This window comes from Homo sapiens, chromosome 4, assembly GCF_000001405.40.
Source record: "Homo sapiens chromosome 4, GRCh38.p14 Primary Assembly".
NCBI classification, from domain to species: domain Eukaryota; kingdom Metazoa; phylum Chordata; class Mammalia; order Primates; family Hominidae; genus Homo; species Homo sapiens.
Window position 1 is genome coordinate 68,091,929 of NC_000004.12, and position 27,070 is coordinate 68,118,998.

The 27,070-nt window shown below is 34.3% G+C and overlaps 1 protein-coding gene across 2 annotated transcripts in view, besides 1 other annotated feature; it reads right to left on the minus strand.

Moving 5' to 3' along the window:
- TMPRSS11F (transmembrane serine protease 11F) overlaps positions 1-27,070 on the minus strand; it is a 76,672-nt gene that overhangs the window by 38,731 nt on the left and 10,871 nt on the right. For both annotated transcript variants that reach the window (NM_207407.2, XM_011531935.2), the window contains exon 2: positions 6,959-7,110. In NM_207407.2, the coding sequence (NP_997290.2) occupies positions 6,959-7,110 (152 nt within the window). The remainder of the gene's footprint in view (positions 1-6,958; positions 7,111-27,070) is intronic.
- Positions 21,449-21,950: an enhancer, noted in NCBI's record as "NANOG hESC enhancer chr4:68979095-68979596 (GRCh37/hg19 assembly coordinates)". NCBI's record gives its function as "activates a minimal SCP1, AML or CMV promoter by ChIP-STARR-seq in naive H9 embryonic stem cells {active_cell/tissue: H9 hESC(naive)}" and the evidence as "EXISTENCE:reporter gene assay evidence [ECO:0000049][PMID:30033119]".

The window sequence follows — 27,070 nt, forward strand, 5'->3', positions numbered from 1 at the left end:
GGGGGACGCCACTACACCCGACTAATTTTTGTATTTTTAGTAGAGAACAGTTTCACCATGTTGTCCAGGCTGGTCTCGAACTCCTGACCTCAAGTGATCCATGAGCCTAGGCCTCCCAAAGTGCTGGGATTACAGGTGTGAGCCACCGCACCTGGCCAGATCTCCAATCTCTTACTGCATTTTAAACATTCATTTTAAAACATTTTTTCAATGTTGAAAACATTTAAATATTCATTTAAATTTTTTTAAATGTTAAAAACAAACATTCATTTAAAAACATTTTTTAGATCATAAATGCTGTATCAGAAAATCTGGAATGACCAGAAAATTATATACAAGAGGATGAAAATCTGTAAGTGTAATATCTAGAAGTAATTGATGTTTTAATTGTGGTTGTTATTTATTCTGTTAAAATAATTGTTTTACTTGGCTGAGATAGCTTATCATCACAATTTTGTATCTTTTTGTTCCACTTACAAAATTGATTCTAAGCATTATCTTACTTCTTTAAAAAAATACATTTTGTTCATTCAAAATGAGATGTCAAGAAATATGAATCAGGGTGACATTTTACCACAACAGTTTACAATCTATTTGGCTGTTTTGCTGACAATTGTTATTTCTTTATTTTTACTGATGGATGCGTGGATGAATTAATCAATATTTACCAAGTTCCTAACAAACACTAAACTGTCTAATCAACTCTCACATATATTATCTTATTAAATTTAATGAATTCAAGCTATTTCTCAAGGCACATCTTGATAAGATTTCACAATTAAAGTTTTATTACAAAAAAAAGATTAAAATTAAGATTGATCCCAGAGTGACACAGCTATTCTATTCATTATCATATACATATCCCTATATTGTCTTTAAGAATTTCCATGTTAGGCAAAAGCATATTCTGGAATCTCGTAGAAGTAAAAGTGATTTTAATATATACTTTAAGTGCTTTTAAAAGTGCTAAAAATATAAGTTATATATGAAGCATAACTATATTAGTCACTATACTATAGCAATTATGTTAATGTTGAACTTTTGTCTTAATTAATAATACCTTTCCTTTATTGAATTGTCCTTATATGCAGAGAACATGATATTTGCCATTTATTGAATCTTTATTATATGCTCAGCTCATTTCACCAGTGAAGAAATTCAACATTAAATAAGGTTTTATAAAAGATCAATTAGGAAGCCATTGTAGAAATCGAATTTAATAATGGCAAATATTTGTGAGAAATTACTACATACCATGCACTGTGTGAAAACACAAATCTAATTTAATAATCACAACAATTTTCTGAAGTAAAAATAATAGTATACCCCTTTATATAAGAGTACTGAAGCTTAGTGAAGTAGAAAAGAAGTTTGCTGAAGATCACCTAAATGGTGCTGGGAAAACTGGCTAGCCATATGTAGAAAGCTGAAACTGGATCCCTTCCTTACACCTTATACAAAAATCAATTCAAGATGGATTAAAGACTTAAACATTAGACCTAAAACCATAAAAACCCTAGAAGAAAACCTAGCCATTATCATTCAGGACACAGGCATGGGCAAGGACTTCATGTCTAAAACACCAAAAGCAATGGCAATAAAAGCCAAAATTGACAAATGGGATCTAATTAAACTAAAGAGCTTCTGCACAGCAAAAGAAACTACCATCAGAGTGAACAGGCAACCTACAAAATGGGAGAAAATTTTTGCAACCTACTCGTCTGACAAAGGGCTAATATCCAGAATCTACAATGAACTCAAACAAATTTACAAGAAAAAAACAAACAACCCCATCAAAAAGTGGGCGAAGGACATGAACAGACACATCTCAAAAGAAGACATTTATGCAGCCAAAAAACACATGAAAAAATGCTCACCATCACTGGCCATCAGAGAACTGCAAATCAAAACCAAAATGAGATACCATCTCACACCAGTTAGAATGGCAATCATTAAAAAGTCAGGAAACAACAGGTGCTGGAGAGGATGTGGAGAAATAGGAACACTTTTACACTGTTGGTGGGACTGTAAACTAGTTCAACCATTGTGGAAGTCAGTGTGGCGATTCCTCAGGGATCTAGAACTAGAGATACCATTTGACCCAGCCATCCCATTACTGGGTATATACCCAAATGACTATAAATCATGCTGCTATAAAGACACATGCACACATATGTTTATTGCGGCATTATTCACAATAGCAAAGACTTGGAACCAACCCAAATGTCCAACAATGATAGACTGGATTAAGAAAATGTGGCACATATACACCATGGAATACTATGCAGCCATAAAAAATGATGAGTTCATGTCCTTTGTAGGGACATGGATGAAATTGGAAATCATCATTCTCAGTAAACTATCGCAAGAACAGAAAACCAGACACCGCATATTCTCACTCATAGGTGGGAATTGAACAATGAGAACACATGGACACAAGAAGGGGAACATCACACTCTGGGGACTGTTGTGGGGTGGGGGGAGGGGGGAGGGATAGCATTGGGAGATATACCTAAGGCTAGATGACCAGTTAGTGGGTGCAGCGCACCAGCATGGCACATGTATACATATGTAACTAACCTGCACATTGTGAACATGTACCCTAAAACTTAAAGTATAATAATAATAAATAAATAAATTTAAAAATAAATAAATAAATAAATAAATAAAATCAAGGTATGCTTGGCTCTTGGGATTTCATGGGAGAATAATATTTTGTGGGAAAATATAATCCCTACATTCCTGGAAGTGGATCCAGCCCTATAGAACAGGAAGACAAGTGATGCTATCTCAATGCAAATTTTACTCTTTAGGTTTTCAAGAAACCAAACTTCAAAAACAGCTTTAGATAATTGGGTTTCTGGATTTTGTTAAAACATAATTCTAAATAGTAAAATCTTTAAAATATTTCATGCAACTCTATAAAGCATTTTTTTTACCCCATAACAAGTGGTATAACAATTGATTCTTAAAAATCCTGAAAAATTTATCTGGGTCATGAAAATGCTTGTTGAAAATATAATTTACTATATAATTCCAGTAACTAAACAACAAAACCAACAAACACAAAAAATACTGAGACAACTGGCAAATTCAGTGTTTGAATTTTTTTAGTTAGTGTCATAATTCATGTGAATGGTAGTGAATGTTATTTTATTCATTAATCTCGAAAGAGCTTCACACAGTTATGAAGGCAGCATTTTATATATATATATACATCATCATAATACATAAAAATATATGTATATTATATGTATAACACATAATATGTATTATATATAAGATTTGTGTATACATATGTGTGTACAAAATTTTTCACTGGAAGAGGACATTTCTAATACATACAACTGACAATGAATATATATATCCAGAGAGAACTCTTTGAAATCAATAAGAAAAAACAGATGACTCAATACAAAATGGGAAAACGACTTAAAAAGGCACTTCACAATAGCAGAAAATCCAAATGAGCGACTGAGACATGGACAGATCCTCTACATCATTGTAGAACAGATAAATGCAAATTAAGATTATGAGGATAATGCTATATCCTACACCAAATTAGCAAATATAAAAAACTATGGCAACACTAAATGTTGGTGAGGATATGGAGCAATGGGAACTGAGATGCACTGCTGGTAGAAAACAGTTTGGTATTATCCATGATGATAAAAAAGCACATGCCCTGGCCAGAAGCGGTGGCTCATGCCTGTAATCCCAGCACTTTGGGAGGCCAAGTCGGGCAGATCACGAGGTCAGGAGTTAGAGATCAGCCTCACCAACATGGTGAAACCCCATCTCTACTAAAAACACAAAAATTATCTGGGCATGGTGGCGGGTGCCTGTAATCCCAGCTACTTGGGAGGCTGAGGCAGAAGAATTGCTTGAACCCGGGAGGCAGAGGTTGCAGTGAGCCAAGACTGTGCCATTGCACTACAGGCTAGGCAACAGAGCAAGATTCCATCTCAAAAAAAAAAAAAAAAAAAAAGCATATGTCCAATGACCCAGTGGTTCTGCATCTGCATAGTTCCTAGACAAACTCTTGGATGTGTGTACAAGATCTGTGTATAAAAATATTTACAGCAGTATTGCTTTAATGACTAAAACCTGGAACAACCCAAATGTCTATAAGTATTTGAATAGATAAGTAAATTATGGAATATTTAAGATAATGAATATCAGTCAATAATTTAAAAAAAAAACCAGACTAAAGCTGCCTTCAACAAGGCAGATGATGCTTGCAACAATGTTGAGTAGATGCAAGCCTCAAAAAAATACGTACAATGCTGTTATACTCATTTAATGTTCAAATACGATTTCGTTTTAAGACATTTTCTTTCTCTTTGAGGAAATAATCAATAAGAATCCAAATGGAAATCCTGAGGATAATAAGCACACATTAATCTAAAAGCCTTTTCATCATGTCAAGTAATAAATAGAGGCATGAATTCTATCAAGCATTTAATAGTCAATTAATAACACAGTAATTGTTTTTTAAAATGATACCCAAGTAGCATTGAAAAATTTTATGGAGTTGTAAAAATAAAACCTGAGAACGTTTAAACAATGTTTTACTGCGCAGCCTGTGGTTCTCCATGGCATATGTTCTTTTTCCCTTGTATATATCTGAAGATGTATTCCTGTGATCCCTGGCTGAAGGGCACTGATAAATCAACCATATTCAAAAGTCACTGATTTTATTAATTCTTATTTTAAAATTGCCCAGTTTTAAAAACAGTGGATAATTGGTCAGAATTATAATGCACTGAAAGCCGATCATTCATAATTACTGAAATCTTTAGAATAAAAATAACTCCATCAAATACACTTCCATCCTGGTGATGTGACTTTTACCACTATGTCTGCTGAAATCCTTATTTCTATTGTGATTATTTTACAATTATTGATAATTTTTACTCCACTGTCTTTCAGATCTATTCATGTACAATCTATAAAAGTAATATTTTAGAAATAACTTGTCCTCTGTTGTTTCCCTGGTTACTAGAATGTAATTTCCTTTACTGAATTCTTTCTGCTATAAAAATAGGTATGTTCCTTTTAAAAACTGCATCATCTTATATACCTCTATTTTATCCCATTCTACTTGTTTAACTTTTGTCATGGTCTACCTTCTCCTGTCTTTTCCTAAATGTCCATCTGCAGTCAGGCAACTTTTCAATTATCTGCAGTCAGGAAAGACTTGGAGATAGAACACTCAAATCCTTGGGTGTTAACCTCTGTATTAGTTGTCTATTGCTGCTATAACAAATTACTGTAGGTTTGGTGACTTAAAACAACACGAATTTATACTCTTACAGTTCTGGAGGTCATATATATCATATGTGAGTTTTACAAAGCTAAAATCAAAAAGTTGGCAGAGCTGGTTCCTTCTAGACGCTGTAAGGCGAGAATTTATTTTTTGCCTTTTTCTAGAGACTACCCTCATTCCTTTGCTGATGGTCCCATTTTACATCCTCCCATTCTCCTCTTGCTTTTGTTGTTCTTCCTCCTTTGACCTTCTTTCCTCCCTTTTATTAGGACCCTTGCAGTTATATTTAGGACCTATCCAAAATATCCAGGATAAAGTCCCATCTCAAAATTATTAGTTTAATGACATCTGGAAAGGCCTTTTTGCTACATAAGGTAACATTCACAGATTCTAACAATTAGGACATGGACATCTTGGCATGGGAATGGGGCATTATTCAGCCTATGACAACCTCTAAGATTTTTTTAATGGCTAAAATGCTTTTTTTGTCATTATTTTTACTATCCCTTCATTTTTTTTTCGTTTTTAAGCATTGGGAGTGAAGGGCATTTTAAAAACAAAACTATTTCATTACCTTCTAACCCAAAGAAAATACTAACAAAAGATAAAATTGTATAGAGTAACTTGGCTTATGCTTTCATTTTATGAGAGTCTAAGGAATGGCTATTAACAATCCCCCAATAATGAGGGTAGGAAGGTAAACTGGGCATGTTGGACAATATTTCATTTCTTCTTCGGATCTTTCAAATGTGGTTTATTGCTATGACTGATATGAGTGCCTAAAATTTTAAGTCTCAATCACCTGTGATTAAAAATGCAGAAATCGGCGGGGCATGGTGGCTGATGTCTATAATCCCAGCACTTTGGGAGGCTGGGTCGAGTGGATCACCTAAGGTCACAAGTTTGAGACCAGCCTGGCCAACATGGTGAAACCCCAACTCTACTAAAAATACAAAAATTAACCGAGTGTAGTGGCAGGTGCCTATAATCCTAGCTACTCAGGAGGCTGAGGCAGGAGAATTTCTTGAACCTGGGAAGTGGAGGTTGCAATGAGCCGGGATCGTGCGACTGCACTCCAGCCTGGGTGATAACTCAAGAATCTGTCTCAAAAAAAAAGAGGAAAATACAGAAACCAAAGACGAAGGTAAATGAATCTTAGTTGATTGTCATTTGGCTCAACTATGATACTGACTCTCCATTTTTGCATATATAATTAGGAAGTAATACTGAGCTTTTCCTTCTTCCCACAGTCATAAAAAAATCTGTTTTTTTCTTCAAAAATAATGCTTGATCTTTAGCCCTTTAAAGGTATTTTTCAGATAACTCTTCTTATATCCTGAGCTTTTCTTGAGGCAACTCATTAATATACTGATTCTGAAAAGAGTATACTAAACTCTCAGCACATTATGTAATTTGTCTTTATGCGAAAGATGATCTTTTCATTCTTCTTTCTCTTTTTTATGTATTTCTTTTAGATACGTCTATCAATGCCATGCTTATTACAAAGTTAACTGGGTGGAAATATGTAACACAGAGCTCAATACAGAAGCAAACTATAATTTAACATCAGTAAAAGACTGGTAATTAAAATGTTAATATCATGCAAATGTCACTTTTTATACAACAGAAAATTTCAAGATACGAAGTCATGGAGTACTTAGGCAATGGAACTGTGACCTGGATACTTACCCTCAACAACAAAATGAGTAACAATACCAATTGCAATTCCTATGATTGCTACAATTGCTAATGTGAAAAGAGCTAGCCGTACTGAGTCCCAAAATTGCTGCTTTCTTTGATATTCAGCTCGTGAGAATTCAGCTTCTGAAAATTCAACAGGTCTGTGATAACAGAAAGAAAATAGAGACAATAAAAATTCATTATAGTTCAACTTTATGTTTACTTACTATGTTCCTCTATGAAAATAGTTTATACTGCTAAATAACAGTGAGCAACTTAGACCTTGAAAAGAACAGTAGGTTTTAATTTGCATATCCTCCCCCGCAAAAACCCAATCACAGAGTGAGGTTTAGACAAAGTTCTGCTGATGTTGACATTCAAGTGAGGATATCTTCCCACGGCATTTTATCCGGCTTATTGGCAATTTAAAACTTTGGTAGTGAAACACAAAGACTGGCTTTTAGATTTTAATATAACTACTTTTAAAATAACCTTAACAATTTCTTAATGGCATGTTGTACAAGTAGCAACATTACTTTGGAAGACCTGATCATGGCTCTTTTCATTTACTAGCACCTCCCAGTGAAATAAAAAAATGGTGAATTGTACTTAGTAAGATTCCACCACTCATGAGCATCCTTCACTTACATTTGACTCACATGACCCCACTGGTGCATTACCTCCATTACTCAAAAATATCTTACATCATTTACCTTTTTCCAACTTGAAAGTTGCTATTTATTTACTTTATTGTCTAAATTCTCAAATAAGATTCAATATTGTGATATCTTTCAAGTGAAATTTTTCTGTAAATGACTTTATGCTTTTCTCTTTACTTAATCAATATTTATTGTGAACTTGTTTCATTAAATGAGATCATGAAAAAGTCCATAGAATAGGACCTACCACATCAAAATAATGTTTCAGAAACTGTTCTAGATCCCTAAATGTATACAGATTTTAAGATAAACTCTTTGTCTTTGGGATGCCCACACTTTAAAAGGGGAAACAGACATGGAAACAAGTAGTTATTATATAGTGTGAATTGTGCCAAAATAAATTTGTACAAGAAGAGGGAGCACTAAACTTTTTGAAGGGTTTTGTCAGGAGATTTTATTAAGAAAGTGACATGATTACAACTTTGAGGAATAAAAGCTCACCAGGTCAAAAAAAAAAAAAGGACAGAGAAAATAGCATGTGGGGCGTTGGGGGGAAGGGAGGAATGTGAAACAGGATTCATTACTAATAGGGGGTAAAAACATAAATAAAACATGACTTTTGTCCTCTAAGAATTTATTGTCTCAATATATGTTCAAGATTGCAAGTCTTTCACAAGACTGCAATTCTGGGAAGAGGATATGGTAGAGCTGGTGGACTGGGAGTCTCATAACCCAAAGTAAGCACCTGGAAATTTACTCTGGAGGAGGTGGAAAGCCAATAGAAAATTTTAATTAGATTGAAGAGTTTCGAAGATTTAGAAAAGTCACACAGATGTGAATGAGGATGGGGATTAAGGCAAGAGTGCAGACAGGTAGACCAGTTTAGAGGTCATATTGATGGTCCAGGAAGGAGACTGTGAGGACCTGAACTGAGGCTATGGAATGGGGTGGAGAGGAGGCGATGGATTTAGTTGTAGTTCTTGAACTTTGTTGAATGATTGATCAGCTGTGGGACAAGAAAAGGATTAATGGCCCACTTGTTTGGACGTCCAGGTAAATGACTGTGACTCCAGGCAAGATGAGGAATATTAAAGGAGAATAGTGTTTCCAATAAAGACATCAATATAGTTAATAAAGAGCAATTTGCTGTCCTTAGACTTGGGTCTGGGTCTGAACCAAATGAAAAGTATCTGTTTTACGGCCTTTCTCTTTGACTTATTTTATTTTAGTTGTGTCACTAATATCTGTTTATATGATTCTAATAAAGCAACTGTTAAGGTTAGAATTACATAACCTAGAAAAAAAATGAAAAAGTTACTATGTACTCATGTGAAACACCATTCCTCTCACCCATAATCGAAGTCTCTATTTCCAAAATCTATGGCAATAAGTAGTTTGAGTATGTAGCTTGTGAATATTATGGCTGCTGTAATTACTTTATTATTCCCATTCCTTTTCCCCCTTAGTTTTGTAGGTTTCATTACTATACTCTGATCCCTTCAAGAAGCACGAAATAACAAGAATCAAGTTTAATAAAATGTAAGGGGTTGATAGCCAAATATCACATTATGGTAGCACTGCATTGTTGTAAAGGGACTTTTTAAAAAATCATAGTCACATTTGATTTTAAAATAAGTTTCTTCTGCCTAGTGATTAGCTATTTTCAGTCTGATGTAACTGGAATGTTGCCTTCTGTCTAATGTGGAAGTTGAAATAAGTTTTACCAAATGCCCATTTATGTGTTTTGAAGTGTAGCTGGCAGGTACAGTATGCAGACACCAGCCAAGTGCAAAGGAAGTGAGGTTTACCCTAATTGTGGAAAAAAGGTCATAATAAAATAACAAAGTGTTCAGAAAATTGTTAAGAAATGTGTTGGTTAGGCTGTTGTGAAAAGCCTGTAATAAGCATAATAAATAAAACAAAATATATTAAGTGCATTCTTAATTATGCAAGAAACTTTGAGATTTTGACTATATTTTAGATATATTTGTTAGATGTATAAATGGTTTAAGCTTTGAAAAAGATTATTTAGATGACATTTAAATTCCCTAATGCCTTTAAAATTCCTATATGTTTCTCCTGATTTGTACATGACAATTTTTTGTTCATTTAAACCCGAATGAGTTGGATGCTAAATGGAACCTTTCAACAGCATTTTTTTAGAAAAATAAATTTTATTGTGCATATTTAAAGGATATAACATGATGTTAAGGAATACATATAGATAGTTCAGAGGTTTCTATAGTGAAACAAATTCACTTATCCTTTATCTCACCTAGTAACCATTTTTTGTTTGTTTTTGTGGCAACAGCAGCTAAAATCTACTCATTTAGCATGAATCCTACATAGAATACAATTTTATTACCTATAGTCCTCATGTTGTACATTAGATCTCCAGACTTTCCATCCTACATATCTGCTACTTTGTATCCTCTGGCTGACATCTCCCCATTTAATTGCCCCTATAACCACCATTTTGTTTGCATCTCTGTATTTTTTATTTTTTAAAAAATATTACACATCTAAGAGATAATGCAATATTTTTCTCTCTGTTTCTGGCTTATGTCACTTAGCTAATATCCTCCAGGCTCATCCACGCATGGCAAATGGCAGGATCTTGGTTTTTTGGGGGGCTCAGGAAAATTCCATTGTATATATTTACCACAACTTCCTTATCCATCTGTCAATGGACACTTAGGCTGTTTCCGTATCTCAGCTATTGTGAATAATGCAGCAATGAATATGGGAGTGCAGATATCTTTACCAGATGACGATTTCATTTCCTTTGAGTATAAGCCCAGAAGAGAGATTGCTGAGTCGTATGGTAGTTATATTTTTAATTTCTTTAGAAACCTCCATACTGTTTTTAAAAATGTCTGTACCAATCTACATTCTCAGCAACACTGTCCTAGGTTCCCTTTTCTCCATACCCTGGTCAACATTTGTTACCTTTTGACTTTTTGGTAATAGCCATCCTAAGGAGTGTGAGGTGGTATCTCATGTTAGTTTTAATTTACATTTTTTTGATGATTAATGATGTTGAGAACCTTTTCATATACTGTTGACCATTTTTATGTCTTCTTTAGAGAAATGTCTATTCAGGTCTTTTGCACATTTTTTAATCAGGTTATTTTTCCCCACTATTGGGTTGTATGAGTTGTTTATAAATTGCAGATATTAACCCTTTCTCAGACATACGGTTGCAAATATTTTTCCCAATCTGTGGGCTGCTTTTTCATTTTATCAATTGTTTCTTTTGCTGTGTAGAAGCTTTTAAGTTTGATGTTGTTCTGCTTATTTATTTTTGCTTTTGTGGGTTGAGCTTTTGGTGTGATACCCAAAAAATCACTGCCAAGGCCAATGTCCAGGAGCTTTTACCCTATGTTCTCTTCTGAAAGTTTTGTAGTTTCTGGTCTTCTATTTAGGTCTTTTATCCAATTTTGAGTTGTTTTTTTTTTTTTTGTAAGGTGTAAGGTAGGTTTTAATTGCATTCTTTTGCATGTGGAAATCTTGTTTAATTTACCATACCAGTACCATTTATTGGTACCAATACCACTTATTCAGAAACTATCCTTTCCTTATTGTGTCCTTGTGATGCCCTTGTCAAAAATTAGTTGACCACGGCCAGGCACAGTGGCTCATGCCTACAGTCCCAACACTTTGAAAGGCCAAAGTGGGTGGATCACTTCAGTCCAGGAGTTTCAGGCCAGCCTGGACAACATGGCAAAACTCTGTCTCTACAAAAAAAATACTTAAAAAAATAGTCAGTTGTGGTGGCACATGCCCGTAGTCCCAGATACTTAAGAGGCTGAGATGGGAAGATCACCTGAGCCCAGGAGGTCAAAGGAGCAGTGAGCTGTGATCATGCCCCTGCACTTCAGCTTGGGTGACAGAGTGAGACCCTGTCTCAAAAAAAAAAAAAAAAATTAGTTGACCATATGTGTTTGGATTAATTTCTAAGCTCTCTACTTTGTTTTACTGCCCTGTTAGTCTTTATGCCAGCATCACACTGTTTTGATTAACATAGCTTTGTAATACAATTTTAAATCAGAAAGTGTGATGCCTCAAACTTTTTCATTCTCAGAATTATTTTGGCTACTCAAGGTCTTTTATGGCTCCATACAAACTTTGGGAGAATTTTTTTCTATTTCTATGAAGAATGCCAATGAGATTTCGATAGGGATTGTGTTAGATCTATATATTTCTTTGGCTAGTATGGACATTTTAACAATAGTAATTCTGATTCAGAACATAGGATATCTTTCCATTTATTGGTATTGTCTTTATTTCTTTCGTATTTTGTAGTTTTGGCATACAGATCTTTCACTTCCTTGGTTAAATTTATCCTAGGTATATTACTTTTTAAATTTTTGATACTATTGGAAATAGAATTGTTTTCTTCATTTATTTTTCAATTAGGTTGTTATTTGTGTGTTGAAATAATACTGATTTCATATGTTGATTTTGTACCCCGCAACGTTATAAAATTCACTTATTAGTTCTAATAGTGTTTTGTGGCATCTTTGGGATTTATACATTTAAGATCATGTCAGAATAATTTTACTTCCTTTCTGATTTGGATACCATTTATTTCTTTTCCTTATATGACTGTTCTTGCCAGTAGTTCCAGTACTATGTTGAACAGAAGTGGCAAGAGTGGGCATTCTTGCTTTTTACAGATGTTGGTGGAAATGCATTCAGTTTTTCCCCACTGATTACGATATTGGTTGTAGGTTTTTCATAAATGGCATTTATTGGGTTGAGGAATTTCCTTTATGATGTGGTTTGGCTGTGTCCCCATCCAAATCTCATCTTGAATTGTAGTTCCCATTATCCCTACATGTCATAGGAGGGACCTGGTGGGAGGTAACTGAATCATGGGGGTGGTTACCTCCATGCTGTTCTCATGATAGTGAGTGAGTTCTTATGAGATCTAATGGCTTTATAAGATGCTTTTCCCTGCCTTCACGCTGTACTTCTCCCTGCCATTGCCATGCGAAGGACATGCTTGCTTCACCTTCTGCCATGATTATAAGTTTCCTGAGGGCTCCCCAGCCCTGCAGAACTGTGAGTCAATTACACCTCTTCCCCTTATAAATTACTCAGTCTCAGGTATTTCTTCATAGCAGTGTGAGAATGGACTAGTACACCTTCTATTCCAAAACTGTTGAGAATTTTTATCAAGAAATAATGTTGAACTTTGTCAGAGATATTTTCAATAAAGATAATCATGAGGCTTTTATCTATCATTCTACTAATGTGATGCATCACATTGATTGATGTATGTATGTTAAACCAGCCTTGCATGCCAGAGTTAAATCCCACTTGATCATGATGTATAATATTTTTGATGTGTTGCTGGACTCAGTATATTTTATTGAGCATTTTTGCATCAATGTTTATCTAAGAAATTTGCTTGTAGGTTTTTTTTTTTTCCTTGTGATGTCTTTGTCTTCTTAGGTATCAAGGTGATGCTGGCCTTGTAAAATGTGTTAGAAATCATTCCCTCTAGGTTTTTTTTTTTTTTTTTTTTTTTTTGCAAGAGTTTGGGAAGTATTGGTATCAATTCTTCTTTAAATATTTGGCAAAATTCAGCTGTGAAGCCATCTGGTCCTGGGCTTTTCTTTGTTGGAAATTAACAACCTTTTATCATACTTTGTATTGCATCTATTTTAAAAGATAAAATTGTGTTTGTTATTTAGTTCTTTTGAAGGTGGAAATGTTTGTTTTGCTGTATTTTCTTTCTTCATGTTAAAGTAAAATTGGAATAAAAATGAGAAATATACAACTCAAACCTACTCTTCCATGTAAGTAAACTTTTTAAAAGTTAAACAGAAAACGTCCGTATATCCTCTAAACTAGTGATGGGTTTTTATGATCAAAATAAATACAAGTTGACTGGGTTTAATTCTGGCTTTGCTACTATCAGCAAGCTAGTTAAATTCTGTACTTCGATCTCCTCATCTGTAAAATGAAGAATAAAAGTCTTTCATGGCTTTGTCAGACCCAAAATAATACAAATAATAAATACCAGTAAATAATTGGTGGATAGTCCTGTTTCTTTCAATCCCTAAAGCAAAGGGATTTGTTTTGTTCTGTTTTTGGTCTTTTCTTTAAATATAATTCTTCAGATGACCTGACAGTTTATAGTTAAGAATATTTCTGTATTTTCTCCAGAGTAATCTGTATAATTACTGTTAAAGTTACTCACTAATATTATTTTTGTTTAAAATGTATAAAAATAAATGTTTCTGAATTTCTTGCAAAATGAACAAAATGACGTCTAGAAGCATAAACATAAAGAATATAAACCTATCAGTATTTACTACCCAAATTCTCCATTTTAGCTGCTTTAAGATATTAACCACTCAGCAGAATTAAAATCTTGATCTATAGTCTGAAGGTAAAAAAACACAGAATATTTAAAATAAAACCGATACATCTGTTAAAAAACTTGTGGGATTATGCTTTATCCATTAATAATTCTATGTGGACACCAAATAAAATGACATTGTTGTGACATCACATTAATGTTGTAATGAGACATAAAATAACTATCATTATTATGTCCATATCATTAAAAAAATCTATTCAAATAAACAGAACACAGTACCTAAAGCCTTTTGGTAATTTAAATAGAAATAAAACTCGAATAGTCACAGTAATGGAGTACACATCAAAAGAGTCCAATTTAGTTCTGTGGATGGCAGTGGGATTCCCTTTGGGAGATCTCTTTCTATGGTAGGTCTATTGGCAATATTGGAAAGCATGAGTCAGAAACACTGGCAACGGGAGACAGATAGTAAAAAGCAGGGGCTACTTGTGTTGTTGCAGCATTTAAAATGATAGAGCCATCTAAGTCATGATGACACTGGTATTTTCATGAGGAGGCAAAATTTGCTTTGGACTCAATAAAAATTCCAAAGATAAGAAACACTAATCAGAGGATTGCAAAAAATGTCCTTGGATTTCTCAAAAGGCATATGAGGGGATATTCTATAAATGTCATTATGATAAGTGACTTCAGAAGCATCAAGAATTGGCAAAGTGGTGGGAAACTGCGGGGGGAGGGGTTACAACTATGAGTTAATACATCAAAATTAGCTTCCTATCAGCTAGAAATGACTGGTTTGACAAAACAGTCAATGAAGAAAGGTGAAATTGTGGAGTGTGGGCAGAAATTGCATAGCATCCTGCTCCTTTATTGGAATGTGTAATAGCTCTGTACATGGGGGAAAATATTAAATCTTATTTACATAATAGAATATAATGTAAAACATATAAGACATTTAAAGAAACTGGTTATAATAATTTCATGAGTTTTCTGAAATTTTCTTTGAAAACATTTTTTAGACCTTCGAGTTCTAGATTCAGTACAAGATCTATCTCTCTTTATAGCTGACTTTCAAAATCACTATTACCATCTTGGAAGCACTACTCTCATGCTATGGTATCAGCAAGGTCAGCTATACCTCTGATAGCAGTCACACAAGTAACAATACTAAACACTTAATTTCATTCATACAAATACAAGCAGCATTTCTGCAGTTTTCTTGTATTAGAATGGTCACATTTTCCACCTCAAGAAGACTTTATAGTTACTATGACTGCCAAGTATAGTATTAATAAAAATAAATTTCATTCATTCATTTAGTACATGTTCAGTTAGTACATGTTCATTGGACATCTACTATGTTCCAGACACTAATTTAGTTACTATGGATATGGCCGTACTAAGGATATAGACTGCCTTTATGTGTCCCAATGGAAAAGATAGTTTGTGCAATAAACAAATCTATACATAAATGTCAGGTATCAAGTAAGAGGACACAGAATAACCAGGGTACAGTGAGGGAGGTGGTAGGATTAAGGTGATCAGGGGAGATCACTCTGCAAAGGTGATATCTAAGTGGAGACATGAACAAGGTGAAAGATGGAGCCATGTAACTATCTGAGGGGAAAATGTTACAGCAAAGAAATAGTCATTACAAGGACCCTGAGGTAGGAGCAGACTTGGTGAATTTGCAGAAGAGCAGAAGGTCAGTGTGGCCAGTAGGCAGTGTGCAAGTGGAAGAGGGAAGATGATGGGGTCAGAGATCATTATAGACCACATCATAATCCAGCAGGCCACAATAAGAACCATTTTGGTCCCAGCACTTTGAGGGGCCAAGGCGGGCAGATCACGAGGTCAAGAGATCAAGACCATCCTGGCCAACATGGTGAAACCCCATCTCTACTAAAAATGGAAAAATTAGCTGGGTGTGGTAGCACTTGCCTGTAGTCCCAGCTACTTGGGAGGCTGAGGCAGGAGAATCGCTTGAACCCAGGAGGCAGAGGCTGCAGTGAGCTGAGATTGTGCCGCTGCACTCCAGCCTGGAGACAAAGTGAGACTCTGTCTCAAATTTAAAAAAAAGAACCACTTTGGAGTTTTGATCCCTGTGGATGGGACTGATCTTTTCAAAAGGATCACCCTGTGGATAATACACTGGATGGAGGGCAGCAGCGAAGATGTGAAAAGTGGAAGCAGCAAAACTGATTAGGGGACCCTTGCAATAGTTCAGGTCTGAGATGATGGCTACTTGAAGTAGGATGCTAGCAACGAGGAAATCAGAACATATAACTGGATTCAGAATATATTTTGAAGTTATAGCTGACAGAATTTGCTGATGAATTGGTTGTAGAAATGACAGAAAGAGAAGAGTTAAGGAGGATGCCAAGGTCTTTAGTTTGTGCAGAGAAAAATGATAATCCAGTGGATATGAAACATTTTGAAAGTAGTGACATCATTCTCAAATTAATGCTTATATGGAACTCTAGTGTATAACACAGACTTAAAGCAAAGATGTTCTGGGATGGAGAGGGTGTACAGAAGTCTGCCAGTATGCAATCTGCCCACTGGAAGGGACCCCTGAGACACATTTGCAAGAATTAACTGCTGAATTTCACACGGACTACAGTCGCTTCAGCAAAATCCTGAAGATCCTCCATAATGGAGCCCTGGGCAGCATGATGTGTCACCCAGCCCCTACTGATGTCTCTTGCATTCTGTTCTCCAGCCTTTACATGCCATGTACCCAATGAGCACACCTTCATTTTTCTAATGTCACCTCTATAAAATCTTTCCAATATATACAACTCCTGGGTAGGCTTTGACTTGTAAATAAGGAACCAGCATGCCATTTATTTGCTCTCTGTCCTCAGAAAAGATTATTGCTTCAGAAGAGGTAGAAAAGGCTGTGATGTAGAGAAGTTAGTCTTTGATAAAGGGACAGGCTTCCTCTGAGACTAGCTGTAGTACAAATGTATTTGTAAGTATGGGGGTAGGGATTTGAAGGATTCCTTTTTTATTTTACCCAGGACCTGACAGAATCACAGAATTTACAGTTAACTTACAATTAATCCACTTCAATCACCAATACTAACATCCACTTTATCAGAACACTACCATAATGTTGTCTAGCCTATTCTTAAAACCTTTCCTTCTAACTTCCTGAGAAAGCTCCCCTCACCTTTGCTTAGTCTGATGATGGTTTTTAGGCATGCATTCCCAAAGTTTGCATCTCCTACACTAACTATATTTTCTTAGGAACATTCAAAATGGATAAAATCCATATGTCACATCTAATACAGTCAACAAGTTCTAATTGAGCACCTACTATGTAACCTAACGCTATTCTAGGTGCTGGGTATTCTCTAGTGAACAAAAGAAGGTCCAGTACTCCAGTACCAGTACTGGAGTACCCGGCCGGTACTCCAGTAACAGAAATAAAATCACTTATACATTTACAGCTCCTCCCACTGTTTGGCCAAACCACAGGGTTAAATTCTCTTATTGCCTTGGTGAAAAATTAGGGTCATGCTGAGAAAGCATTTGCCACATATCTTTTATAAATTAAGAAATATGAATAGGAATTATACACCAGGTGGATATAACGATGAAAGTACAGATCCCTAAAAATTTTATAAGTCTGCTTCTTTCATTCAGAATTTAATGTTTAGCTTTGTTTTAAATCAACCACCTAAATAATGTGTCTCAAAATTTGAAATAAAGAGCCAATAGTTTATGTTGAATAAGTTTATATATTAGTTCAACTTAGTAACACAAAGGAAAGAAGGATGAGTTGGCCAAGGGTTTAAGTACAAAAGAGAAGTTATTTGTCAGGACTATATAAACATCCTTTAATAACATATGACCAGTATTATTCAGATCTTTATGATCATCCCACATGACCCTCCATTGGGTTTATTTCTGTGTTTGTTTTTAACATCATTAAAACAAGAAAACACTGGGCAATTAATTTGAAGTTGGTGAAGTGAATTCATGAGATAATTGATGACATCAAGATGAAGATTTAAATATTTGATTATACTTGGTACTAAAGAAATGTAAACAACAAAACATTAAATTAAATGCAGTACACTCTTCTATGTGCAGCATAAATATTTATGTGCTAATCAAGTATTCTCACAGCAGTAGCCTTGGGGGGAAATTCTTTTTATGTCTTACATATGTCTTAACATATTTGTATTCAACCTGAAGCATAGATACACATTAGATATTCCGTTTGGGCACAGTCCTCTCTACTTCTTGCCAAAAAGCCTTCATTTCTGGGAATACTTGTGGTTAATAACATCTTCTTAATGGCATGGGTTAACTAAGGTTAATGACCTTCCTTACTACACACATATACACACAGATACACAGAATGAGACTCACATGTTAATGGTGAGAAGCAGCAATGGAGAACAAATACAATATTCATTTTAAATGCTATTTTAGATGCACAAAGGAAACTGTGAACCTCAGCAAAATCCACAGACTCAGACCTCTTCCTCCCCAGTGTTTAGCCATGGATATGTGGCAGAGTAAAAGTAAATCACCAAAACTGGACTGTCTTTAATTATGATCTGCTCTATAGGCAATTAAAAGGCATAAAGTTTGTTTTGAGAGATTTAAGTTGAGAGATAGTATAACATACTAGTTAGAAGCCCAGATTCTGTAGTCCAGCTGTTCTATTTTAAGTTCCAACTCTGACATTTGTGAGCAGTATGATTGTAGGCAAGATACTGAACCTTTTTTACCTCAGTTTTTTCATCTGCAAAATGGGTATAACAGTATCTACTTGATATATTTCTTGCGAAAATAAAATGAGATAATATATTTAACATGTCAAAGTGCTATAAACATTATTGCTATTATTAAAATGCTATCTGCTTACTGATTTTTATTTTAAAACACTGAATGCCTAGGAATAATCAAATCCAAATGTCTTTGTTCCTCTTCAGTATGACCACTTTATTTTTGTTCTCACTTTAGTGAAATGTTTTTCTGCTTTCTTATTTAACTTTCTTGTCTTTAAAAATAAAATGGCTATAGCAGGAGTCCAATGATGGAAATGGACAGTACAACTCTTTAACCATTCTTCAAAACCATAGTACTAAGTCCTTTCAAAATAAACAAGGCCATCATAAATTTCAATCTCATTTTCTTTTATGCCTTATTTAGGCTGAAGTCCACCAATTAGAGACTGTTTTTATACAAATTCCATATGGCATTAAGCATGATGATGTAACATAACTAAATCTCAGTACTGTTCCCCCAAAACATAGGTATAGTCCCTTTTTTATATGACTTGTCTAGTCTACTTTTCCCAGTTGGAGCTTATACATCTGCTTTCACAATCTTCACCCATCTCAGTTTTATATTTCCAAAATGATTCTTTCTCATGCACTGAATCTCTTAATAAACATGGTCTTTCCAAAACTTTTGACTATTCCTACGGCAACTCAGACATCTTTGCCTACTGTATTAAAAACAAAATAAAACAAAACAAAAAAACATGAAACAGATGGCCCAATACTTGTAGACAGCAGCTGATTTTACCACTTACTAACTGTATATGCTCTCTATACCCTTCAGTTTCTTCATCTGAAAAATGGTGATAATGGCCCTAAATTTCTGGACTGTAGTGAGGTTTAGGGACAATATAAATTAAGTGCTTAGCACAATGTCTGACAGGTAATAGGCTATAAAAGGAAACTATTATAATTATTATTCTTCATCAACTTGAAACTATAATTATTTCAATGAAACTCCCCAAATGCCATCTTGAGGAGGAAATGAAATTTGTGTTATTTCTCCTTTGCAATATTTTTCTGCCAGCATGGTGGTGGACAGTTGATACATTTTACCTCAAATTTACCCAATTCTTTTTAGTAGTTATTTAATAGCCTCATTTAATGATTAGTTAAGGCTTAGAGAGACTAATTTAGGCAAGGTAAATTTGACAAGTATTGGAACCAAGATTTGGACTCAGAACTATGATTCCCAATTCTCAATTATTTCTGTACTCTATAAATCTTCCTTTGATATTTAACCCATAGATAACTAAAACCAATGATTTGGGTTAAGTTCTATCTCATTATGTACTTACTTAATTATCACAATGGAGTCTTAGCCTTTCTTCCTATTTCCACATTTCTCCGCAGCAATCCATCAGACACTCTGTAATTTGAGATATTTTGGAAAGCCTTTGATACTGTCTCTTCTGCTCAAATGTCTTCTTCTACCTACTGTCTACTGAATCAAGCACACACTCCATAGCATGAACTCATACCTTTTCAGTCAAGCATTTATTATTTTCATTGACGTTTCAAGTTCAGTGAGTCTAGCTTCCCTACTGAACTGTCTTTGAGCCTTTGAACATGCCCCCACACTTAACTGATCGTGCTCAAGCTGTGGGCCCCATCGGCACTGTTTTTTTCCTACTTCCCTACACTCAAATCCTATTCACCCTTCAAGATCCAGCTTAAATGTTACATCTCCATGGACCTTTTCTGAATCCCTAGTTAAAAGTGACATCATTTTATTAATGCCAAACCTATTTGGGGCTAATATTTTTATGTTATTTGTTGTGCTCTCTCTGCTAAGCTTATGTTCCCATGGTGCCCTATATTTTTCCAACCTTAAATTAATAATAAAAATATAATTTGATTGAGCCCAGGAGTTACAGTACAGCCTATGTAGTGAGACTCCTGCCTCTAAAAAATACTACTAATAATATATCAATAAATAATCAAATGTTATTATTTGTATTGATTCTAATATCATTTTTACCCAGCTAGACAGTAAACTCCACAGAGTATGAATAGTACCTATTTTGCTCATTGCCGTAACTCCAGTGTCTAGCACAGTACCTGAGCCTTAGTAGTGTTTAATAAACATTATTGAGTATGTAGACACTATAATCTACCTCATTTAATATTCTTTTATGCTAATAATTATACCTTCTCTTAGTTTATAATTTCCTAAAGGGCAGAATCTATAGCATTCTTCTCTATATCTCTTCCAGAGTTCCTAAATATGTGATTAAAAATATTAATAAATCTTCCCTCTACAAAATTTGCTCCATAGAAAGTAAAATTCTGAAATATTTATTTTTCTAATATTATACAAATATTGACCTAGTTGACATTTATAGAACACTCCACCCAACAACATAATACACATTCCCTTACACTGCATATGCAAAATTCATCAAAAAAGAGCACAATCTGTTTCATAAACATGACTCAACAAATTAAAACAAATTAAATCTTATAAAGTATGTTCTTTGATTATAGAGAAATTAAATCACACCATAAAGGGTGATTCTGGTGAGGTCTCAGAAATGAGAAACGTGTTATTGGACAATGGAGAAAAGGCTATTCTTGTAATAAAATGGCAAAGAATTTGGCTGAATTGTTTTTGTGTCCTAGTGTTCTGTGGAAGGTAGAACCTGAGTGACAAAATTGGATATTGGCCAGGGAAATATCTATGTGAATTGCTGAAGATATGGCTTGGCTTTTCTTGACGGCCTACTGTAAAATGAAAAATGTAAAAAAAAAAAAATGCAATATCCGTGAAGTGCAGTAAAGTGAATCACAACAAAAAGAAGTATGTCTGTATTAATATCACACAAAATCAACTTTAAATCAAGGGTTTTGCCAAGAACTAAAGAAAGATGATATGTCATTATAAAAGGGTCAATTCATCAACATAACAAATGTTAAAACGATCCGTAAATGTGTATGCAACTAACCACAGAGTTGCAAAGTACTCGAAGCAAATACTGTTATAATGAAGAGAAGTACACAAATCCACATTATAGTTTAAGACATCAACACTCTTCTCTCAGTAACTGATAAAGTAGACAAAAATTGATAAGCAAATAGTATCTATTAGCAATATTATCAACCATCTTGACCTAGTTGACATTTATAGAACACTCCACCCAACAACAGCATAATACACATTATCTTCCACTGCATATACAAAACTAATAAAAAAAGAGCACAATTTGGTTCATAAACACACCTCAACAAATTTAAAAAAATAAATCTTATAAAGTATGTTCTTCGATTTTAAAAGAATTGAACCACAAGTTAATAACAGAAAGATATCTGGAAAATCCCCAAATATTATAAAATTAAACAACAAGCTTCTAAATGACTTAGGAATTAAAAAGAAGTACAAAAAAACTTAAAAAATATTTTGTTTTAAATGAAAACATAAAAAATTTGGGAGATGCACACAAGGCAATGATTGGGGAAAATTTATAGATTTAAATTCTTAATTAGAAAATAAGAAAACAAGAAAACAATAATCAACCCTACCTTAAGACACTGGGAAAAAGCAGAGTAAATTAAACCAAATAAAAGCAGAAAAAAGGAAATAATAAAGAAACTGATGAAATTGAAAACAGTAGAAAAGTCAATAGAAACAAGTCAGTTCATTATAAAGATATATAGAATTATTTAGAAAAAAAGAAGGCACAAATTTGCAACACTAGGAATGAGGAGAAAGATATTACCATAGACCTATTAAACATAAAAGAATGATAAATAAATGCTATGAATAACATTATGCCAATAAATTTGCTCATGTAGATAAAATGGATAAATCTTTTTGAAATACAAAAACTTTCAAAGCTCATTCAGGAAGACACAGATGTCTGAATAGTACATACCTAAAAATAATAACATCAATTTAAACAGATTCTGCCAGAAAACAACAGATTCTGCCAGAAAATAGAAAAAAAGGAAATGCTTCCAATTTTTTTAATGAATCCAGCATATTCTGATAACAAAACCAAAGACATTATTTTTAAAAATCGGACAAGTTAGAGTTTCCCAAAGGGAACTGGAAAAAAAAAAATCAGATGAAAGCCCCTCTAAACAAGAAGTAAAAATCTTTAAAAAATGGAATTCAAGAGTGCCTAAAACCAATATTATATAAAAACAAGTGAGATTTATCTTAGAACTACAAAGTTAGTTCAAAATTTGAAAACCAATCAGTATAACTCATAGTATTTACAGACCAAAAAACAAAACAGAAACAAAAACACTCCTATGTGATCATCTCAATATATTCAGAGAAAGCATCTGAAAAAAACTTAACCTTAATTCATTATTTAAAAAAAAAAAAAAAAAAAAAAGAAGAAGAACAAGAAGAAAGCTTTCAACAAGCTAGGGATAGAAGAAAAGTTTCCCGGCCGGGCGCAGTGGCTCACGCCTGTAATCCCAGCACTTTGGGAGGCCGATGCGGGCAGATCATGAGGTCAGGAGATCGAGACCATCCTGGCTAATACGGTGAAACCTCGTCTTTACTAAAAAATACAAAAAAAGAAAAATTAGCTGGGTGTGATGGCGGGCGCCTGTAGTCCCAGCTACTCAGGAGGCTGAGGCAGGAGAATGGTGTGAACCCAGGAGGCGGAGCTGGCAGCAAGCCGAGATCGCACCACTGCACTCCAGCCTGGGCAACAGAGCAAGACACCATCTCAAAAAAAAAAAAAAAAAAAAAAAAAAGAAGAAGAAGAAAAGTTTCTCAAGCATATAAAGCTCTTCTAAGGAAATCCTATAGCTAATATATGCAATGGTGAGACTGAATGCTTTCTTTTGAAGCTCGGAATGGAGCAAGGATGTCTGCTCTTATCACTCCTATTTGTATTGGAAGTCTTAGCCACTGCAATAAAGCAAGAAAAAGAAATATAAAACACACAAGATGGCAAGGAATAAAGTGCTTTTATTAATATACTATAAAGAAAATCCTTGAGAATCTGCCATGAAAAGACTAATACGTAAGTTTACAAAAATCACAGAGTGAAAGGTCATACATAAAAATCAAACTATTTCCATATACAAGCATTTAACAAATAGGTACTGAAATTGTAAAAGCAGTAACATATACAATAGCACTGAAAACTATGAAATAATTATCTGTGAATCTAACAAAATTTGTAAAATATTTAAATGGAAAAAATTTTAAAGCATTTATGAAAAATCAAATAAAACCTTAAAAATTGAGAGAGATATATTATGCTTAATTAGAAAAGTTAATCTTGCTAATTTGACAATTCTTTCCAAGTTTAACTGTATATTTTCAGCAAGAATAAACTATCAATCACAAAATGTGAGTCCTTCAGCTTTTTATTGTTTTTCAAAATTATTTTGGCTTTTCTAGGTCATTTGCTTTTAAATATCAACTCTAGAATTGTTTCTTTCTTTCTCAAAAAAAAAACCCTTACAATTATAAAACTTAGAAAATACAGAAGAAAATATTTTTGACCTTGAAGTAGAAAATATTTCTTACCTTAAAGTAGAAAATATTTTGTAGATAGGAAATATACACGTATTAGAATGGCAACAGTTTTTGTTTTTTTCCCAAGGGAAAATAACTAGAATATTCATACATTGGTGTTGGGAATGCAAAATGGTACCTCCACTTTAGAAACTGGTTTGGCAGTTTGAAATGAAGTTAAACATTAAAAAATGCACAGATAAATGGAAGGACATTCCATGTTCATAGACTGAAAAGATGAATATTGTTAAAATGCCCATACTACCCAAAGCAATCTACAGGTTCAATGCAATCCTGTCAAAATCTCAATGGCATTTTTCACAGAAATAAAAAAAAAATCCTAAAATTCATCTGGACTCACACAAGACCCCAAAAAGGCAAAGCAATTTTGAGCAAGAACAACAATGCTAGAGGTACCACACTCCCTGATTTCATAGTATACTACAAAGCCATAGTAATCAAAACAATATGGCATTGGCATAAAATCAGACATATAGACCAATGCAACAGAAGAGAGAGCCCAGAAATAAACTCATGCATCTATGCCAACTGATATTTGACAAGGGTACCAAGAATACACAATGTATAAAAGATAGTGTCCTCAATAAAGAGTATTAGGGAAACTAAACATCCACATGCAGAAGAATAAAATTGGGCCCTATTTCACACCTTTCATAAAAATCAACTTGAAATGGATTGAAAATTTAAATATAAAACTGAAACATTAAAACTCTTAGAAGAAAACATAGGGACCAAGCTTCTAGATATTAGACTTGGCAATGATTTATTGGATATGACATGACACCAAAAGCAAAGGCAGCAAAAGCAAAAACAGACAAGGGGATTACATCAAACTAAAACGCTTCTGCACAGTCAAGGAATCAATTAACAAATTAAAAGGCGGTCTACCAAATGAGAGAAAATATTTGCAAGCCATGTATTTGATAAAAAGTTAATATCCAAAGTTTATAAGGAACTCCTACAACTCAATAGCAAAAGACCAAATAATCTAGTTTAAAAATGGACAAATTGGCCAGGCGCGGTGGCTCACGCTTGTAATCTCAGCACTTTGGGAGGCCGAGGGGGGCGGATCACGAGGTCAGGAGATCGAGACCATCCAGGCTAACACGGTGAAACCCCGTCTCTACTAAAAATACAGAAAATTAGCTGGGTGAGGTGGCAGGTGCCTGTAGTCCCAGCTGCTCGGGGGGCTGAGGCAGGAGAATGGAGTGAACCCTGGGTGGCAGAGCCTGCAGTAAGCCGAGATCCGGCCACCGCACTCCAGCCTGGGTGACAGAGCGAGACTCTGTCTCAAAAAAAAAAAAAAAAAAAAAAAAAAAATGGACAAATGACCTGAATAGACATTCCATCAAAGAAGACACACAAATGGACAACAGGTTTATGAGACGGTGAACAACATTCCTAATTATCAGGAAAATGCAAGTCAAAACAACAATGAGATATCACCTCACATCTGTTAGGATGGTTGTTAGGTTGAATAGAAAGTTGGGTGTCTCCACTGAGAAATCCTTTGGGCTAGGGTTGGCTCCAAGTTCTCAACTGTCAATTCACTGAATTATAAAAATAGCTATTAATTACCATTGATACTTCAGCAAAAACCCCTTAAAACACATTCCTACAAATATTTCACACCCAGGTAGTTAGTCTCAATCATGATACTTCCATCTCTGTGGCTAAGGGCTATTCAAAAATGGACATGCAGTCCAACTCTGGCCAGTGATATGTGAGAGATAGTTGGGAAATTGTTGAGAAATACTTCTTTTCTTCTAAAATAAGTCAAACTGAGAGATAACTCCTTATTGTTTTCTCTGAATATTGTTGTGTCCCAATGTGACACCTGAGACTGCTACAACTCTATGAGAAGCAAGCTGTAAGAGAAACTAACCTGAGGACAATGTGGACTCACAAAGAATACCAAAGTAGAAAGACAGAAATAACCAGGGTCTCATATCACACATTTGAGGGGCTGGATCAAATGCCACTGAGAACAGCCCAGCTTTTGATATTACTATTATATTAAATAATAATTTTTCATATTGTTAACACCAACCAGTGTGAGGCTGAAGTTTTAATTAATCACAATTGAAAACACCCAAATGAATACACATACTTAAACATTAATTCCCATAGCCTCAAGAATCTTCCAAAAATATGGAAGGCTTTTTATGTGAAACTTCAAGAAAGGTTTTAATTCAAACTGTATTATAACACAATTTTGGATAGTTCAAACAAGGACTTTTGTATTACACGTATACAAAAACATTTTTAAAAAAATACTATAACTCACCAAAGAGAGAAACTTCCTGTATATTTTATGCAATTTAAAGCACCCATTACATATGCTTGATATACTAATTACAATATATTTCTAGCAATTCTTTGATAACAGGTCTTTAGTCATAAGCTTGGTAAGTAATTCTGAGATTTCTTAATTCATTCATAAAATACTTATTGAAAATTTTTGCTGGCTGAAGGTGAAATGGTTAACCATACATACTCAAGGAGTTTATAGGCTAGGGGGAAATACAAATATTAAAAAATTTATATGTAAACAATTAACATAATAAAAAATGGTAACAAAAATGAAAGGTGCTCTTATATGTCTACAACAAGGAAATCTTATCTAGAGTAAGGGGTCAGGGAAGGTTCCTCTGAGAACATTTAAATGAAGACCTGAAGGATCATCTAATTAGGGTGAAAGCAAAAGAATGAGTTGCATGTCTCACATTTTAAATCAAAAGCTAGAAATAATTAAGCTTAATGAAAAAGTCATGTTGAAAGGTAAGACAGGCTGAAAGCTAGGCCTCTTGTACCAAACAGCCA